The 20,671-nt window shown below is 40.1% G+C and overlaps 1 pseudogene, besides 1 other annotated feature; it reads left to right on the top strand.

Moving 5' to 3' along the window:
- Positions 14,152-14,737: an enhancer, noted in NCBI's record as "OCT4-NANOG hESC enhancer chr6:112649857-112650442 (GRCh37/hg19 assembly coordinates)". NCBI's record gives its function as "activates a minimal SCP1, AML or CMV promoter by ChIP-STARR-seq in primed H9 embryonic stem cells {active_cell/tissue: H9 hESC(primed)}" and the evidence as "EXISTENCE:reporter gene assay evidence [ECO:0000049][PMID:30033119]".
- LOC100128588 (PIN2 (TERF1) interacting telomerase inhibitor 1 pseudogene) lies at positions 16,527-17,883 on the top strand (annotated as a pseudogene).

Raw genomic sequence — 20,671 nt, 5'->3', positions numbered from 1 at the left:
TAAAAACCAGAGATGACATGATTAGACTCCATAGTTACATATTTGATAACATGTAGTTCCTACTATAGTTCTATTAATGAACTCCTTTATTTTTGTTCCTCTAAAATTTTTGTCAAACATGTTAAGAAAAAATTGAATAATGTTCGTGCATTTTATGCACATGGTGTGCTTATAGCTGTATAAGAACCAACAACAGATTTCCACTTCTACAGCATATTATCTGCAAGAATAGTTTGCTCTCACCTGAGTCCCTATGTAAGTTTCAACAACCATAGCCACTGTGGAATAAATGAGTAGTGCTCAGTTACCCCAAGTGTGCGCACCCTTCTTTCACTGATAGGTCCCAGACCCCAAGCAGGGGCCAGAGGGGGACAGTGTGAATCCAAGGGAATTTGAGGAGTTCAAGAATATGGACACACAGGTGACCATGCCACTTGAACTCTTTACTTTTGTGGTTTCTAGAGCCAAATATAAGTGTTTTCAGATTATGCATACATTCTCTCCTCTAGTTTAGGGCTTTCAGAATATTTTTGTGTGAATGAGGAAGTGTGAATCAAAATAAGCTTCCTTTCCACCCAGCTATCTGGCATTCAATGTGTTATCAAATGCACACTATGAATCTCTCAAAATGGCTGGAGCCCCACCCCTACTCCAGGATGCAAGATACATCGAGGCAAGCTGTCTACGGTCAGTCCCACCTGGGAGCATCAGCCCCTGGGGGTTGGGAGCTCTGGACACAAGCAGAGATCCAGCCTCATGGTAACTTCCTCCTCCAACTGATTGATCCTCGTTGGTGGTTGCCCATTAGTCTCCAGATAAGGACCCAAATCCCTAACAGGTATCCTGGCCTTGGCCCTGCTGCTCTCCAGCCTCATCTTCTGAAATCAAGACACAAAGCCTCCTTTCACTACTTTCTGGTGCCCCTCCTAATCCAGGACAGGTGGTTTCTCTCTGATTGGAACCATCCCCAGCCGGCCACCCAACTAACACCTAGTCATCTTTCAGATATATCTGGGGCATTAGTTCCTCAGAAGAGTATTCCCAGAGCCTCCAAACTAGATGAGAAACCCCTGTGATGTCCTCTCCTAGATCCCTCATCCTTCCTCCATGTAAGTTATCAGAATGTTAGTTACTATTTATTCATCACTTGAGTAATCTGTGGCTCCCTCACATTAATACATAACACCTATTGAGCATGTTATATGTGCCAGGTGTTTATTCAAGTACTTCATATGGTTTTTATTATTAAATCCTCTTAGCTCTATGAGGTAGGTGCTATTATCATCTTAATCTCTTGGATAATGAATTTAAGGGTTGCGCCACCCCCAAGCTGTGTGATCTTGATGTGTTACTAACACCTGTCTGGATTGCCTAGCTCTGGCCATCTTTCACATGAGATGGAAATAAACTTCTATCTTGTTTAAACCAGTGTATTTTATAATTTTTCTATTTTGTGCATTCAATCCAATCAAAGTTTAATTAAACCAGATGCTAACCTAATTCCTTTACCTTCATGGAACTATGAATCTATGCTATTTTGACAGTCATAGCAACTCATCAGACTTCATCCATGAACCTGGAAATCCAGAATCACAAATCCCATCTTCATTTTCTACTGTATCTTTTTTTTTTTTTTTTTTTTGACAGGGTCTCTCTCTCTGTTGCCCAGGCTGGAGTGCAGTGGTGCAATCTCAGCTCACTGCAGCCTCGATCACCCGGGCTCAAGAGATCCCCCACCTCAGCCTCCCAAGTAGCTGGGACCACAGTTGTGTGCCACCACACCCAGCTAGTTTTTACTTATTTTCTGTGGAGACAGAGTCTTACCCAGGCTGGTCTCAAACTCCTAGGCTCAAGCAATCCTCTCACCTCAGCTTCTCCAGGTACTGGGATTATAGGCATGAGCCACCATGCCTGGTTCATATCTTATATTTTACTGATAGTTTACATCCTAACTGAAGAGACAGATATGATTCATTAGAACTACCATACTATTATTATTAATTTTTTTTTTGAGACAGAGTCTCACTCTGTCACCCAGGCTGGAGTGCAGTGGCGCAATCTCGGCTCACTGCCACCACTGCCTCTCAGGTTCAAGTGATTCTCCTGCTTCAGCCTCCAAAATAGCTGGGACTACAGGCACGTGCCACCACACCCAGCTAATATCTGTATTTTTAGTAGAGACAGGGTTTCCCCATGTTGGCCGGGCTGGTCTCAAACTCCTGACGTCAAGTAATCTGCCTGCCTTGGCCTCCCAAAGTGCTGGGATTACAGCACGATGAGCCACTGTGCCTGATCTTTTGCTATACTTTTAAATGTCCTTGTCAGTACTTGGCTGTCTGACTAGCTCTTCAGCTTTTAAAAAATTCTATTAGTGGGTTCCCTAGCATGGTATTATTGCAAAACAAGAAAAGATAATAACTAATTAGCAGAGTCAGCACAGTCCTGTGAACTCAGTAGAGAGAGTCAAATCTTTCAATTATGCAGTGAAATCTTTCAATTAACTGTCATCTAAACACAACACATGATCTTAGTAGCATGTTGCCCATTGTCAGGACGTTAGGCAAAATAAACTAATCAAAATAAATATTCTTCTTCAGAAGTTACCAGGAAAGCCAGCAACACCCAAGAGCACATGAACATCTATTGAGCGTCTACTATCTTTGAGGTACTCCGTTAAGTACTAGGATCCCTTCCAGAAAAAAATCATGGAATGGCACAGCCGATGTCCTTTGTGTTATAGCATGATGAAGGGAGATAAGACCAGTACGTGAGAAGGGAAATAATGTTGTGAAGTAGACAAGACTGTCTATAGTATGTTGCAGTGGACTGCTGCTTACATATATACCTTTTTAATCACATCTACATATATATAAAAAAGGAGAATGTATTTTGACTTGTTTCAGACATTCTCTTTCCAGAACCTCCATACAAGTTACGTTTATTTCTTAAAATCATCAAAGACCGGCCGGGCGCGGTGGCTCACGCCTGTAATCCCAGCACTTTGGGAGGCCGAGGCGGGCGGATCACGAGGTCAGGAGATCGAGACCATCCTGGCTGACACGGTGAAACCCCGTCTCTACTAAAAATATAAAAAAAAATTAGCCGGGCGTGGTAACGGGCGCCTGTAGTCCCAGCTACTCGGGAGGCTGAGGCAGGAGAATGGCGTGCACCCGGGAGGCGGAGCTTGCAGTGAGCCGAGATCGCGCCACTGCACTCCAGCCTGGGCGACAGAGCGAGACTCCGTCTCAAAAAAAAAAAAAAAAAAAAAATCATCAAAGACCTTCCAAACCAGTGTTAATGAACCTATCCTACATGAATGGATTCAAGATAATTGCTATAGCTTTACTTTTCTAAACAAGCCTTCCTCCCACCCTAACACAATTCCAATTACCCATTACCATAACCGTCCTACGGGAAGTGACCAACAAGTATTATGCATTGATAATTTGCAATGAGTTTATTTCTTCATGTATTCTTACCACAAATAATACACTACTATACCCCTGTATCCCATGTCCCTACAATATTTGGGGTAATTTCCTAAGTTATAGATATAAAATAGATGAGCAAGCTAAGTATAGTTCCTGAACTTGCAGACTAGTGAGGGTTAGAGACAAGTAAACTAGCAAATGTAACATGTTCTGTAAATGTTATGGTAGGGAAAGCACATCGTGCTATAGAGCAGATGAAAGAGTGCTTTGCACAAGCTTGAAAGGATCAGGATAGGTATTAGGAGAAAATGGAATCAGCTGGGTACGGTGGCTCACGCCTGTAATTCCAGCACTTTGGGAGGCCGAGGCAGGTGGATTGCCTGAGGTCAGGAGTTTGAGACCAGCCTGGCTAACATGTTGAAACCCTGTCTCTACTAAAAATACAAAAATTAAGCAGGCATGGTGGCGCACGCCTGTAGTCCCAGCTACTCAGGAGGCTGAGGCAGAAGAATCGCTTGAACCTGGGAGACGGAGGTTGCAGTGAATCAAGATCAGGCCACTGCACTCAAGACAGAGCAAGACTCTGTCTCAGAAAACAAAAAAGAGAGAGAGAGAGAAAATGGAATCTAGGTGGACTAGGTGGAGGCCTAATGGCTGAGAAGAAGGAGTCAGAGCAAGGGAAGTAAGCCATAGAAGAGTTTTTTGGTTTTTTTAAGCAAGAAAAAACATGGTCAAATGAGCATTCAAGGGATATAATTCAGCTGCAGCATGGGAAATGGATTGCAAAGGAGCAAGGCTGAAGTCAAGGAGATCAGTCAGCAGGCTGTCACAGAGATCCAAGTAAAAGATGATGGTGGCCTGATAGAAGGAAACAGCAGAAGAAACTGGTGAAAAAAAAATTTCAATAGTTTCCCAATATATTTAGGAGCCAGAATCAACAGGACTTAGTCATTCTTTGGAGGAACAAAAAGAAATCAAGAATGAATATGAGATTTCTGGCCTAGACACAGATATGGATGCTGACATCAGTGGGATAAGCAGGAAGAACAATATGTGGGATAAACAAAGCGTGAAATGTTGGTCTTACGGAAGTGCCAGTGAGACATGTCAGTGTCTCTGTAGATGTGAGGGCCTACAGTTCTGAAGGTCAGGCAAGGGATCTAGGCTACCAACAACGACTTGGAAGTGATCAGCACGGAAGTGGAATGGCAACTGGGAACCAGAAAAGTGGTTGAGACGGCCCAGGAAAACTGTGCAGAGTGAGAAAGAAGGGCCTAGAGTCAGAGCCCTGAGAAACAGCAGCATTTAACGCAAGGGGAAAGGCAATCACCAAAAGCCTGTGTCTCAGACACTGAGGAAGGAGAACCCTGCAGTCAACAACCCAAGTTTGGAATTCCAAGACTTCTAGTCAAATGGTGGCAACTCTGAAAATGCCCAGTGGTTCAGCCTAACTGGGCCAGCCTTGGGTGCCAACAGAATGAGTCAGGCCAGGAAAAGCCAAAGCTGGGACTTCCAAGAGACCATGGAATTGGACAGAACTCTGAAATCTAAATGAACAAGAGGTCTGGAAAGATAAATACAATTGAGCACATTAGTCCAAGTAGGAAAGTCTACACAGGCCAAACACTGTAAAACAGAGATCAGAGCAAAGCCCCTAATCCTAAGACACAAATCCAGCCAGGAGGGAAGGCTTGAGAAAATGTGTGTGGGTGTGTGTCTATTGAAATGAATAAATCTCAAGGTAATTAAGTGCTGTACATGATTTGTATACGACATATCTCCTTTCCTCTGAGACCTCTTCCTCTCGGGAAATTCTCTTTTTAAAAATATCTGTTACTGGTGCTGAGTAAGGTCTCCTTTGCTAATGTTTAATAATAAGTATCATACTAGAAATGATTTATTTGCTTATAATAAGAAAGTAATTATATTAAGAAAGTAATTTTAATATTCAGCAAAATGACCCCAGTCGCCTGTACCTTCTATAATAAAAAAAAGTTTAAATATACTTTAAGTCTATTGAGGAATTACTACTAAATTTTGGGGAACATATAATGCAGAAATATAAAAATGATTTAAAATATCCAACACAGTCACCTAATTAAATATGGTCTTTGAGAGTATATGGGGGTACTCATATTAGTCCACCTACGATGCTGAAAAGTCAAACCACCAAGTCCTGGTGTATCCAACATGTGCTTATGAAATGTCCAGAGTGCTTATCTGTAGGTTATCCATAGTGATCTTGTTTTAATAAAATTAATAAAATATGAAGCACAAGGAGGTTCATATAAGTGACAAGTGAAGCATATCATATAAGTGAAAGATTATTTTATGCATTTAAGTAGAGTTTTGAAGTACAGACATTTTTCAGGCTTAAAGAAGCTTAACATTCTTTGGTGCCAAAGTAGCCCAAATAACTGCAGTTGACTGAATCAGCAAAACCAAGTTTATGCAGAAAAAGCATTTCCTAGGAAGACAACCTCTCTCTCTGACTAGGCTGGAAAAACAGCATCCGTGCCCAGAGATTCAACCTCCTCCCAGTCAGTTGCCCATCCAAGGCTGAGACGGTCGGGAATCTCACACTTCTGTGTTGCACACTGCCATCTACTGTGTCTCTGCAGCAAGTGGAGCCCCAGACTTTATTTATGATCCCAGGCCTTGATGGTGGGCAGGAAACCAATCCATGAGTATCACTTTCCTTCCTTTCACTTGTGGGAGGTTTTATGAATATCAGGAAAAGATGCAAATGAGAGATGTGCACGTATGCAGTTCGATTCATGGAGATCCATGGGACGATGGTTTTAGGAATGGTTGGGGGGTGCTAAAATTAGACAAGAAATTTCCTCACTGAGAAAAACCAGTTTATAAAATTTGTAATCAATTTTTTGACATCAGGGAGAACAGACAAAAAGACATCCTGGTTTTTTTACAATCAAACCCCAAAGCATACAACTGTAATTAAGATGTCTAAATTATGTATATGTGGAAGAAAAGAAAGCATTCATGCAGATGTTTCAATTATAAAAGAAATACTTGTATAACATTCTTCTAGTGTAACTAGGCATCAGTTTTTTTAAAGGTCAACAGCCTACATTTGGTCTATATGCTCCTATTTTTAATCCTTATACCTAACTTCCTGCCATTTCTCTGCAACAGTAAGACCAAAGAAAGCAGATTGTGCATAACACTGAACTGTCGCACACAGGCTTGTTAGCTGAGCTCTTTAGCAATTCTGATAGATCAGTGGGGAGGGAGAGATTTTGATAGGATTTCATTATGGATTTAATTCACCAAATCACCCATACTGCTAACTGAATACTGGGTGGGTTTCACTTTAATAGGTATTTATAAGCTGTGCCTAGTACATGGTTGGTACATAGTCCTAGTACCTAATTCTGGTGACCTCTTGTAAGGCCAAGTTTGCTAGGAGTTAGCCAGCTGCCGAAAAGCATTGTGCATTAACAGAGAGTTTAAAACACCCCAGTTCCAAACACATTTGTTCCTAATATGATAAACATGTTCTTGTAAAAATTACTCTAAGGAGAATAACAAGTTGAGATGATCCCTTGAGCAGGGAAGTGAGAATTCAGTCCCTGGAAAACAAAAGCATCTAAAAAGATGTAGGAGTTGTGGCAGCATAGTGGGGAGAAAGCAAGGGCATTGAAAGAAAAGGAAGAAGGAACTCCTGCTTTACTATTTGATTCTGGTTTGTTCTTACCCACTTGTTCCTCAATTTAAAAGCTAAGAAGGCTCCATTACAATTTTTTTAAGTTGACTATGTCAAGGGAAGAATAGTTTTGTTGTTGTTGTTTTTTAGCAGCCAGTTTTACTTAAAGACCTTTGCAAGAATAACTTGCTTTTCAGCCTTCACAGCTCTGCAGATCTTTCAGAGGCAGTCTGAATTCCTTTTCAAGGAAAGTTAACGGTTGCAAAGCCATGGCTGTCCCTTAGGTAAGGGAGAACACAGCAAAAATTCTGCATTTCAGCTGTTCTGATTCATTTCCCCTCCAGACTGATCTGACATTTTAGTACAATCCAGCTCCTGTAGAGTTAGAGGAGGCTTCAGACCTCTAACTGTGACCACCCACAGCTCTCATTACTCAAGGGACTAAACAAAATCACTGATTTTTCTCCTCTTCAAAGTGAGATGGGTTTGTAGAAGAGGAAAGTGTTTTGCTCTTTCTCATACTTCAAAATATTTATTTATCTCATTTTTCTAATTAGTTTCTAGGATGGGCAAGGCCAAGCAAACTGTGATTTGGGCTCTCATTTTAAACTTCCTCTGCTAGCATCATGCTTATACAAGTTCATCCAGAAATTCTCCAAGTCTTCTGTTTTTCCTTCCTTTCTGTATGTGCCTGCCCAAAGAACTCCCCACATCTCCCACCACCTTGGCCATTATCCCAGGCTAAGCCAATATTATCTCTAGCCTAACTGCCACAGCAGCCTCCTAAATGGTGGCTCTGTATCCACTCTGTACCCCTTTCAGCCTCAGACCCTTTACTCTGAGCCCCCTGGTTAAAACTCTTTAGTGGATCCCCATTGTCCCTGAGATAAAGACTGAAATCCTTACACAAGCCTACAAGGCCAGGTTTTGCTCAGTGTCTGGGTGTGTCTATCTCTTTGATCTGGGCTCCCACCACACTCCCCCTTTATTCGCCATACACAATCCTTCCTTCAGTTCTATGACATGCTACACCCTGCCCCACAGTACCTGAGCGTGTTCTGATAAAATACTCTCTTGTCCTGGAGGTCACCTCCCTCCCCTCATCATCTAGTTTATTTCTCCCTAGCCTTTAAACATTACTTCTCCTGAAAGCTTTCTCTGAGCATAAACCTAGATATCTTTCTTTGACAAACTGTCTTCTGGAACTTCACTCTTTCCCTTTGGGGTAATTATTTTGGTATATAATTACTAGTGTGTTTTTATTTTTATCAAATAATCAAATTGTTTAATGTGATCATTGGTTTACAATCTGTCTCCCTTAATAGACTATGAATTACATGAGGGGATAAACAGTTTCTACTCACCGTTATATCCTGAGCACCCAGCCAGGGTCAGCTTCGTGGATGTGTGAGCTACACAGTTACATAGAAGAGCTTAGAAGGGCTGTATGCCTTGTTTAATGCTCTGCTGTCGCCGTCTTAAAATTCTTAATTTTGGAACAAGGAACTCCATATTTTAATTTAGAACTGAGACCTGCAAATTATGTAGTCTATCTTGCAACTAGAATAGGGCTTGACATACTGAAGGTACTCAATAAATATATCTTCAATGAATGATTATCTACAGAATAACTAATACACAGATGACTATGCAGCCAATTTTGCACATGAAATTCACAAATTTGTATCTTTGTGAATTTCATGTGCAAAAGGAAGGCCCTTCAAAATATACCTGTCTCTTACTAACTTACACCTGAAATCCTCATAACACAGTTAAAACATTTTATTAACAATTAGACGGAGGCTAAAACTTCTGATCTCCCTAAGAGAAATAACAAAACAAGTTCACTGAGGTATATAGCTCTGTTATTGTGATTTTCATTAAGACAAGACTTGTGGAGGAAAGAGGAAAAGAATGGTGGCCCAGTCCTATACTGAACATTATCAAAAGGCTGAAAGTGCTGAAGTCAGACCTCATCTACTTTCTGGTGTTACATGGAACCTACTCTATCACTTGTCAAGCATGTACTACCACTAGATTCCTTGATTAGGTCAACGTCAGACATGAATTTTATTAACTCATATAGTGAAATTTGGTTTCCAGGAGGCTTTTCCTAGATGCGTGATCCAAGACAAGTTATTTAACCTCTGAAACTTAGTTTTCTCATCTGTGAATTAGGGAAAATAGAGCCTAATTTATAGTACTGTGAGGATTAGAGATAATATTTGTAAAGCACTTATCATTCTGGCATGTAGTCACAACTCAAATCATCACAATGATAATACTAAAAAGAGGCAGAAGTCACCAGTGGGGTTTATATGTATACCACCATTTGCTTAACATTTACTCAAGAAAAAGTATTTTTCCTTGCTTCATTTACCATTTACTGATTGTACTGAGTAACAAAATTTAGAAGTTATTTAATAGAATTAACCTCTTGATATTTATTTGAAGCTGGCTTTATATTATACAAATAATGTTACTATTAATCCAAGTGGTTTGAAAGTGAGTTAACCCTTTCCCATCCTGTGGAAGTAATCAGACGGACTCAAAGATCTTTATATATATGTGTGTATATATATATGTGTGTGTGTGTATGTGTGTGTGTGTGTATGTGTATATATGTGTATATATATGTGTGTGTGTATATATATATTATATATATATATATTTAGGGTTTCTTTGTTTTTTTGTTTGTTTGTTTGTTTGTTTGAGACAGAAACTCACTCTGTCGCCCAGGCTGGAGTGCAGTGGCACAATCTCAGCTCACTGAAACCTCTGCCTCCTGGGTTCAAGTGATTATCCTGCCTCAGCTTCCTGAGTAACTGGGATTACAGGCACACGCCACCACACCTGGCTAATATTTGTATTTTTGGTAGAGATAGGGTTTCACCATGTTGGTCAGGCTGGCCTCGAACTCCTGACCTAGTGATCCACCCGCCTCAGCCTCCCAAAGTGCTGGGATTACAGGCGTGAGCCACCACTCCTAGCCAAAGCTCTTTATACTTTAAAAATATTTCAAGGATTACTTTTTATCACTGGAAGTAGTGTGTCCATTAAACCTAGACTTTATTTCTACTTACTAATGAGTGACTGTGTTACAATCTTCTCACTAACCTGCAGAGATGAGCAAGGAGCTCTGTTGTCCCAGAATTGAATTATTGACCTAGGATACAGTTGGTCCCAGAGGGAATTGGTGATAAAATGATAAAACTGGGCCAGAGATTGAGCAAGTAGTGAGTGGAGGTACAGAAGCTAATTTCTAAGATCATGGTAGTAGAGATGAAGATATGCTCTTGTATTTTTTCAGTTTGTTACAAAAGAAAAAATAGCAGATATATACATGAGAGAATCTAATTCCTTGTCATTTTTCTCACCATGGTGATTTCATCCCTGGGTTCATAAAGCAATATCGGTAAGAGATTGAAACCAAAGGTCTCCAAACCCTGAAGCTTGTATCAGTCTAATTATGGAAGTATTTAGAGATGTCAGCTTTTGGGATAACCATTCATCATCCTGCCAGCCACCCATTCTGTGCTACAATAATTTTCAAGGCCTTCCTATATACCAAAAACACTGATGGGTGCTAAAGGTATAAAATGAATGTCACTGACTTTGACTCAAGAAATTCACTCTAGACTGGTAACCCAACTAACCCTAATAGAGTAGGTAGTTGCCTGACTCCGGATGTTGGGGGATGAGGAAGATGGACACTTGAATCATGAGGAAAGAGCCTCTAATTGTGCTGGAGTCATGGGTAAGGAATCCTTTGTTTACAACTCCCATGTGGAATATTCCATACACTACATAAGAGTAATTAGCACATGTGTCTTCTATTTCCTGCTGGGTCACATTCTCCTTACAAACCAGGAGGCCACATTCTACTCCTCCATGTCTCGCCTGCATTGCCCCGCACAATGCCCAGCATAGCATCACTAAAATTTCCATTGGAATGACTTCAATTACAGAATGCTTTTGAGAAAAAAAAAAATGAAACTTCAAGTACAAGTGGAACGAAAGAGTAAGCAATGGACAGAGAGGTTAGTCTTTCAAAGATATCAAAGAATTAGGGCCGAATTTTTAGGTTACTGATCTTGCCAAGGAACTGCTGAAGATGAGCCTTTTGCACCCATGTGCTGACTGCCAGATGTTCAAAAATGGTGACCCAACAAAAGAATAAAATGGTCAAATTTGCAATGAGGATTCTTTTTTAAAAAAAAGTAAATTTCCTTCAAACTACTTTTGATATTGTTAAAAGAGGCTCCAAAGACTTACTTTAAAATCATGTTCAAAAACTCCCATATATGAGCAGGTCCAATACCCTGGGCAATCTGACCTATTAAAACACAAAGATTCTCCACTGGCTCATATAACCATGGAACTTTTTTTTCAAATTTATGAATCAAGGCTTTAGTGTGAATAGACAGTGAGGGAATTTTTTCTGAATAGCCTCCCTATAATCATGGTTCATGACATTTTATAATGCAATTATTGTGGGACGTATCATAACATAATTGAGATTCTAGAAATGGGGATGGGAGGGAATAGAAGGGACACAGTTACTCAAGAAAATGCAAATGCCATTTTACTTGCAAATTAAATGTAAAATCTAATGAAGTGGGTGTAGAAATTGATTGAAAAATTAATTGAGAGAAACAAATTTGGAATATGTCTGTAAGGAACATCTGTAAGTAATTCTGCTCTGACACACCTCTTCAGAGAATCAAGTGCTTCCTGTTAGCTAAAACTTGAATGGAAGCCAGGCTAACGATAGATCTTTAGAACGTGTCAAAATAGTCCAATTTATACCCTGAAGCCAATTGGCGAACTCATAGACTTGCCTGGACTTGAACAAGCAACAGGGAATTTTCCAGTGCGAGCTCCAAATCAATATTTAGCCCAGAATTTGTTTGTTTGTTTAACATTTGCCTCCTTTTCTTTCTGTCATTCTCTGTCTCTCATTGATGATAACTTTTAAAAATAAGCTGGACATGTCAAGACATTTTGTCTTTAAATACTTCAGCATGTAGCACCTAAGAAAAAAGGCATTCTCCTTTATAATCACACTATCACAATTAAGAATTAAGCTCCAAGTTTCTACATTCTATTTGCTTGTCATGTCCCTTAAATCTCATTTACTTTAGAACAGCCAGCACAAGCACCACTTTTTTTTTTTTTAAGGTTTCCGGGACACTGACATTGTGATGAGTCCATGTCACTTGACATGTAGAATCCCCTCCCCCCACACCACCACCAATCTGTTTTTGTCTGACTGTGGGTCAGACTTTTGAGAAGTCGATCACACTGGTGTTTTACTATTCATCTGTATCTTTGAATGAGAGATAATTGTTTTTAAAAAAATTAAATGAGTTGGCCTTGTTAGATATTAAAAGTGTCAAAGAGAGGAAGAGGTAAGGAACTGTTGATTTGTTTTAGTGCCAGATTCTTCAGATTAGATTCAGATGGTATATTCATGAGGTGTGTGTGAATCTTGAAATTTCTGAGCATGTTTTTCAATGATTCATCTAGCCTTTGGAGATTTACTCAAAAACTCCCTTTTCTTCCTCCACTGAGAGATTTTTGAACTTGAGAATTTAGAAAGTGATTGTTCATTATCCAAATCCTTTTAGGAGAAAAAAAAAAGAGTGGGTGGCACTCTAAAGGAAGAATTTTAGTTGCTGGGATAAGAGACAAAATTTATGACTTTCCCACTGATTCCTCAGCCAATATTGCCCCTCCCCAGTACCCACTTCTCCAGAGATTAAAACATGCTTGAATTGGAGTAGGCATTTCCTTCCTTCTATTCAGTGCCAGTTCTCAGAGGAAAACATTCATTTTGCTCTTTGATTCCTGTAGCCCAGAGACAGCAATGAAAGGACCTGCTGCTTCCTGGAGTATAAGGATTTCATCTGGGGGGCTGCAGGGCAGGAAAGAGAGTTTAAAGGGTGTGTGCATCAGCGTGGGTGTGAATGATTTCCCCCAGGGCCAGTTAGCTGGCCTGGAGCCCAGAGTATGCCATTCATCCACCTTAAATTGCACCACACAGCAGAGATGGTTGAGGGAGAAGTCACTCAATGGCAGTGCCACTTGCTGCCAGTTTTCATTGTGTCTCTTTGATATGGAATGTCCTAGAAACTGATGCAGTTTTCTACTTCTTCCCAGAGGGGGAGTAAAAGATGCATGGTGTAGTGGGTGAATAAACTGTAAATGAAATAAACCAAAATGAGAATAGTGAAGCCAAGAGTTGAATCTCCTCTCATGGTACTGTGGTCCTACAAATGTAAAGATGCTTGAGTCTTTTGTCGTAAGTCCTATTTCTAAGCAATGAGGAGATGGCAAAAATAAACGATCTCTTGATACAGATATGGAATGTATTCAAATATCTGATGTTCAAAATGTAGACCCAACTTGATCCATTTTGATCTGAGAATGTTTACTTCTACCATTCAGCCTCAGGTTACAAGAAAAATAAACATGAAATCAAGTATGTAAATAAATCTGGCTGTGCTCCTTGCAACTTGAAATCAGTGTCTTTGACTGTTTCTAATTAAGGAAATAAGAGTTGAAAGCACTGGGGTTTTGTGGGGTTTTTGTTGTTGTCATTATTATTTGACACAAAGAGAAAATTTTGATCAGCCCACATGGTGGATTTGTCCAAATGTTGTGGGAAGTCAGGGACCCTGAACAGAGGGACGGGCTGAAGCCATGGCAGAAGAACATAAGTTGTGAAGATTTCATGGACATTTATTAGTTCCCCAAATTAATACTTTTATAATTTCTTACACCTGTCTTTACTGCAATCTCTGAACATAAATTGTGAAGATTTCATGGACATTTTTCACTTCCCCAATCAATTCTCTAATTTCCTATGCCTGTCTTTACTTTAATCTCTTAATCCCATCATCTTCGTAAACTGAGGATGCATGTCACCTCAGGATCCTGTGATGATTGCATTATCTGCACAAATTGCTTGTACAGCATGTGTGTTTGAACAATATGAAATCTGGGCATCCAAAAGGAACAGGATAGCTGTGATTTTCAGGGAACAAGGGAGGTAACCATTGGGCCTGACTGCCTGTGGGGCCAGACAGAACAGAGTCATATTTCTCTTCTTACAAAAGTGAATAGGAGAAATATTGCTGAATTCTTTTTCTCAGCAAGGAACAGCCCTGAGAAAGAGAATGCATTCCCAGGGATAGGTCTCTAAAATGGCCACTCTGGGAGTGTCTGCTTTATGCAGTTGTAGATAAGGAATGAAACACGCCCTAGTCTTCTGCAGCACCCCCAGGCTTGCTAGGATTAGGAAATTCCAGCCTGGTGAATTCTAGTCAGACCGGTTCTCTGCTCTTGAACCTTGTTTCCTGCTAAGATGTTTATCAATGACAATGTGTGCCCAACAGGACATGGACCTTCATTAGCAATTCTAGTTTTGCCCTGACCTTGTGATCTCGCTCTGACCTTCTGCCTTGTGATCTTTTATTGGCCTATGAAGCATGTGATATCTGCGGCCCACACCCTATTCGTACACTCCCTCCCCTTGGAAAATTTCTAATAAAAACTTGCTGCTTTTGCAGCTCAGGGAGCATCACAGAACCTGCCAACATGTGATGTCTTCCCCAGACACCCAGCTTTAAAATTTCTCTCTTTTGTACTCTTTCCCTTTATTTATCAGACCGGCCAACACTTAGAGAAAATAGAAAAGAACCTATGTTGAAATATCGGGGGCTGGTCCCCCGATATCCAAACCTACAGTGGCCAACTGTCCCAATTCACCTGGGACTAAAGAGTTTCCCAAGACAAGGGACTTTCAGTGCTGAAACCAGGATGGATATGGAAAAACTACCGCAATTGGTCACCCTAGCAAGCCTAAAATGTGCCCTTTGCTTAAAACATGAATCCATTGCCTAGTTGTTATAATTGCAAACTTACCTCAGAATTAGTGAAATGGAAGAGATGTATTATTTATTGGACTTATGCTGCAGAAAGCGCTGTATAAATATGAATGTCCATGAATGCAGATGACAGGATTTAACATGATGTGCTTGTGGAAAAGACTAATACCCATGTCCTTTCCAAGAGCTGTTTTGTGATGTTTCCTTCTAAGAAAAGTTAAAACAGATTTGTTTCTTCTTGACTTCTTCCTTTATGCTGAGAGCAATAACCATCCCAAAGTCTATAACCCCATTGGGTCAGGCTTTCTAATGAATGACCACAGAAAAATCAGCAGACACAGAAAGGAAGTTTCCTCTAGTGAAATTTTCTGCCAGTAAAATATTGATCTCTTTTGTCCTTGGGTCCCACAGGGAATTTTTGATAACTATTCTACAGTAAAGAACTTCCTGTTCACAAAACATATACTCCATTAACCTAATTAGAATAAGAATCTGCACTTCAACCAGAGCTTAGTATCCATTGTGAGGCTGGGTCCCTGAGGAAAATGTTCAATAGGAATTGGAAATATTGACAGCTATTCAATAATTTATATGAGAGCCAAACAAGTCATAGAGGAAAATATCAAAGCAAAACTACTTATCGCCTGTTAATAAGGATATACTGTGTCTTCTTCATTAAAAGTTTAAATAGGACTTCTGCTTCTTGCAGAAATTACTAAGTACCCCAATTAGTCTTCATCTAGAGCTCACATAGTATATGATACTTTACTTGTAAGGAAAATTTATTAAACAATTTGAGAAGCAGAAGAGAACCAAAATTTATTAGCATGAGCCATTAAGGTCTAAGAGTCAATGGAAAAGGAAGTGACAATAAAATTTGAAGCTAAACATGATTGGAAGTGGTAGTAGAACAACAGGTACTTATCCAAAAGTAGTTTGAATCTGGGGACTACAAAGACACTGGTTGCCTAGTGGTTTGAGTGCAAGGAATGAGGACAAAGAGATTAGATCACAAGGGTAATGAGAAAACATACTACTGTGATATAGAGTAATGGCAAGGATGGGCTGTGAAATCCACCGGCCCTGGATTTGAATCCTGGCTCCATTCCACACAACCTGACCTTGGGTGAGTTACTTAACAATGTAAGCTACTGTTTCCACTTATTAAAATGAGGATAAGCTGGGCACCATAGCTTGAACCTGTAATCCCTCTACTCAAGACGCTGAGACAGGAGCACTGCTTGAGCCCAGGCATTCCAGATTGCAGTAAGCTATGATCACACCACTGCGCTCCAGCCTGGGAGACAGAGCAAGACCCTGTCTCAAATAAAATAAAATAAAATAAAATAAAATATAAAATAGGAATGCTATGTGGTTGTAGCAGATGAAAGTGCTGTTTGTGTATTAAGTTAAAATGGGTAAATATTAGCAATTTCATATACCTCAACCTAAAGGGCACCTACCCCTAAGGTTGTTACAAGGATTCAGTGAAATAAGGGAACCAGTTCACCTAGGAATTAAGAACATAGTCTCTGGGCTGCTGTCCACCTGGCAAGGGAGTCCCATCTGTCCAGATTGTCCCAGATCTTGCTGCCCGCCCAGTGGCCGAAGTCCTTCAGGTCTGGAGGTCGTGGTGTCACAGTCTCCATGACATGTTGATGCTGGCTGAGCAGCAGCAGAAGCAGAAGTGGGCTGTGAATACTCAAAACACTGCCTGGAGTAATGCTGATTCTAAATTTGGCCAGAGGATACTAGAGAAGATGGAATGGTCTAAAGGAAGGGGTTTAGGGGTTCAGGAGCAAGGAGGCCCAGATGATATTAAAGTTCAAGTTAAAAATAACGACCTGGGACTTCAAGCTACAATCAATAATGAAGCCAACTGGATTGCCCATCAAGATGATTTTAACTGGCTTCTGGCGGAACTGAACACTTGTCAGAGGCAGGAAACAGCAGACTCCTTAGACAACAAGAAAAAGAAATATTTTAGTCTTGAAGAAATTCCAAAATCTTCAAAAACTGTGTTCATCATAGGAAATTTACAAAAGAAAAGGATCTATCATCTCGGAGCAAAACAGATCGTGACTGCATTTTTGGGAAAAAACAGAGTAAGAAGACTCCCGAGGGTAATTCCAGTCCCTCCACTCCAGACAGAACAAAACCACGATGACAACCCATGCCTTCACCATCCAGGAGCGTTTTGCCAAGCGAATGGCAGCACTGAAGAACAAGCCCCAGGTTGCAGCTCCAGGGCCTGACATTTCCAAGACCCAAGTGGAATGCAAAAGGGGGAAGAAAAGAAACAAAGAGGCAACAGGTAAAAATGGGGAGAGTTACCCCCCAACACAGCCTAAGGCCAAGCGGCCTAAAGAGGGAAAGCCTAAGAGAGACAAGGTCCAGAAGTCGGCATCCAAGGAGAAAAGAGCACGGACAGACGGACAGTGCAGAGGCCTCTGCTGGGAAGAGAGTTCTGAGGCCTCTGCTCAGGGTGCAGGGAATTGTGTGCAGCCACCTGATGGCCAGGATTTCACCCTGAAGCCCAAAAAGACAAGAGGAAAAAAAAAAGCTGCAAAGCCAGTAGAGGTAGCAATGGACACTACGCTGAAAGAAACACCAATGAAAAATAAGAAAAAGAAGAAAGGTTCCAAATGAATTCTCTCCAGCCAGGGCCTTCCGACCACTCAGCTTGTCAGGGCGCTGCTGGGGCAGACACCTCTGGCCTGAAGTCAGAGCAGAGTTCACCCCAGAGAGCCGGGGCACATCTTGTGACATGCCTGTGGGTGGCCGAGTCTCGCCCTCTCACCACATTTCTCCCCAAGTTATGTTCCCAGGAGGGCTTTTTTTAAATGTTCTAAATCATGGCTTTCATAAACAAATACATTTTTGTAAACTCTGAAAAAAAAAATAGTCTCTGGAGCCATGCAGCTTTCTTTTTAATGCTGACTCCACCAGCATCTAGTTATGTGATGCTGGGCAAATTACTTACTCTCCCTCCGCCTCCCTTTCCTCTTGCCTATAATAAGGTTATTAACAGCACCTGTTTTGTTGGCTTGTTGTGTTGGGATCAGTGGTTTGCAGACAATAACCAAGCAATAAATGTTAACAATATTAAACATCTTTGAGTACTAAGGCAGTCGGTCTAAAGTGAGCCTGGAAATAATTGATAAGCAATACAGTGTTCTATTGGCTCTTGTATATAGTTTTGTCTTTATGTACATAGCTAATTATTAGGTTGGTTCAAAAGTAATTGCAGTTTTGCCATTAAGTGATGGCAAAAACTGTAATTACTTTTGCACCAAACTAATATCTACCTATCTAATTATCTAAGTGATAATTTAATCATGACATTTGATTATATAGGTAAATAATATTGTGTGCATTTATATATATACACATATACACATATATGGTATATATATGCAGATAAATTTACATCTCCTTATTGGTGTTACATCAAAAGTTATGCCATCTAATAGTATAGTTGACTTATGAAGTTTAATCTTTCATTTCACACTGATACATAAAATTATAATTGATGTTCAGATTCAAAAAATTAGAAAGCCAAAATATTATTTAGTGAGTAAAAAAAATTTACTAAGCAATAGCTTAACATTCTGCAGGATTAATGACCTTCAGAAGACTCTGTAAACTTCCGATCAAAATAGTTAAATAGAGATTTGGGGGGAAAAGTGCAACAGAAATCTGAAATATTGACATAGGTTTTTTATTTTTTAGGATAACCAAATAAGAAATAGCAAAAATATCAAGTCAAAATTGTAAGATTTTTAAAATTCATGTATCATAATTTTATGAGAATTTTAATGGTCATTTGCTGTAATTTATGATGGGCTCCACACTTAAGTTTGAAATCAACCTTATTTGGTTCAGGTATACTTTATTATCATATTTATATTTAGAAGCCAGAAAATCCCTGGTAATTGTATTAATTTATCAGAAATAAAGGCTGAACTTACCTATTTTTAATCTAATCATGACTTGCTTTAATTGTATAATCCAGGTATATATAATTATATACTATATATTATATATTGTATATAATTATATATTATTATATATTATAATTGTATAATGCAGGTGCTTTTGAGATTCTTTGTGGTGTTGAATTTTCATTTTAGTTGTAGTAACGTTATTAAAAAATCTCCAGTAGTCATCAAAACTGGATGTCCTGTTATTTTAAGTCTTAGATGCTCTAAAATCCCTCAAAATGTCCCTCAATAACTAAAAATTCTAATTGGCTCTTTCATGACAAATTCAGAAAAGCACCTTTCTTTTATTTTTCCAAGAGTTCCTATAATATTTACAGTTGGAAAAGCCTAAAGCATGATGGAATATCGGCGTGCTGTTATTGTAAAACTGCAAATTGGAAACCTGATCTTTCATTTCTGAATGCTGCTTTATATAATTATCTCATAATGATTAAGTTTTCTTTCTGAAAAAAAGAAGAACACATTAAGTGCTGTTCCTGCATTATCTGATTTAATCATCCTCTTAACAATGTGAAATATTATCAAATCCATTTTAAAAGATGATGAAACTGGGGTACAGAGGAGTTTACTAAGAACCTATGGAAGCACAGATAGTAAGAGATGAGCTGGGCCAGGCATGGTGGCTCATACCTGTAATCCCAGCACTGTGGGAGGCCAAGGCAGGCGTATCACCTAAGGTCAGGAATTCGAGACCAGCCTGGCCAACATGGTAAAACCCCATCTCTACTAAAAATTAAAAAAAAAAAAAGAAAAATAGCCAGGTGTGGTGGCACATGCCTGTAGTCCCAGCTACTCGGGAAGCTGAGGCAGGAAAATCGCTTGAACCCAGGAGGCAGAGGTTGCAGTGAACCGAGATCGCGCCACTACACCCCAGCCTGGGCGACAGAGTGAGGCTCCATTTCAAAAAAAAAAAAAAAAATTATCCAGGCATGGTGGTGCATGCTTGTATCCCCAGCTACTTAAGAGGCTGAGATGGGAGGATCACTTGAGCCCTGGAGGTCAAGGCTGCAATGAGCTGTGATCAGGCCACTTCTCTCCAGCCTGGGCAAAACAGAGCAAGATCTTGTCTCAAAAAAAGAAAGGAAAAAAAGGAGACAATCTGACTCAAAAACCTTCACTCATAATGACCACCCAATCCAGCCTTCGGTGAACTTTTCCATAATGGCAGAGGAAGGGGAGCCTGCGTGCAAGAGAAGCACAACCCGGTTGGGATGGAGACTACCAAAAGAAGTACATAATGTCAGAAAAAGGAAGCAACACCATGTTTTAAAGAAGAGGGATTGGTCACCTTAGCCAAGTGCCACACACAGACCCATGAAGGCATGGACCACAAAAGGCCAATCACATCTTGATGAAAAGGGAATTTTGGTGACCTTAGTGAAAGCAGTTAAGGAATGGTGGAGTCAAAAGCCAGACACCTGTATGAGGTAAGAAAGCAGAGTCAGGGGTACAGTCCACTCCTTTGGAAATTTTGAGTTCTCAAAAAGAGGAGAGAGACTTGATGGTGGCTAGAAGGACAAATAGCACCAAAGCCAGTTTCCCTTTTTAGGAACCTGTGGAGGAGAGGGTGGAGGCACACAAGACAGGGACAATGACTATAGGAATGAGATGTCAGAGTTCAGAGTGACCTGAGGATTCATGATTTAGGTCAGTGGCCTAGAGGACTTCGACCTGAAA

This window comes from Homo sapiens, chromosome 6 (assembly GCF_000001405.40).
Source record: "Homo sapiens chromosome 6, GRCh38.p14 Primary Assembly".
NCBI classification, from domain to species: Eukaryota; Metazoa; Chordata; class Mammalia; order Primates; family Hominidae; genus Homo; species Homo sapiens.
Note: the sequence above shows the minus strand (reverse complement) of the source record. Positions and strands in the feature narration are given on the sequence as shown.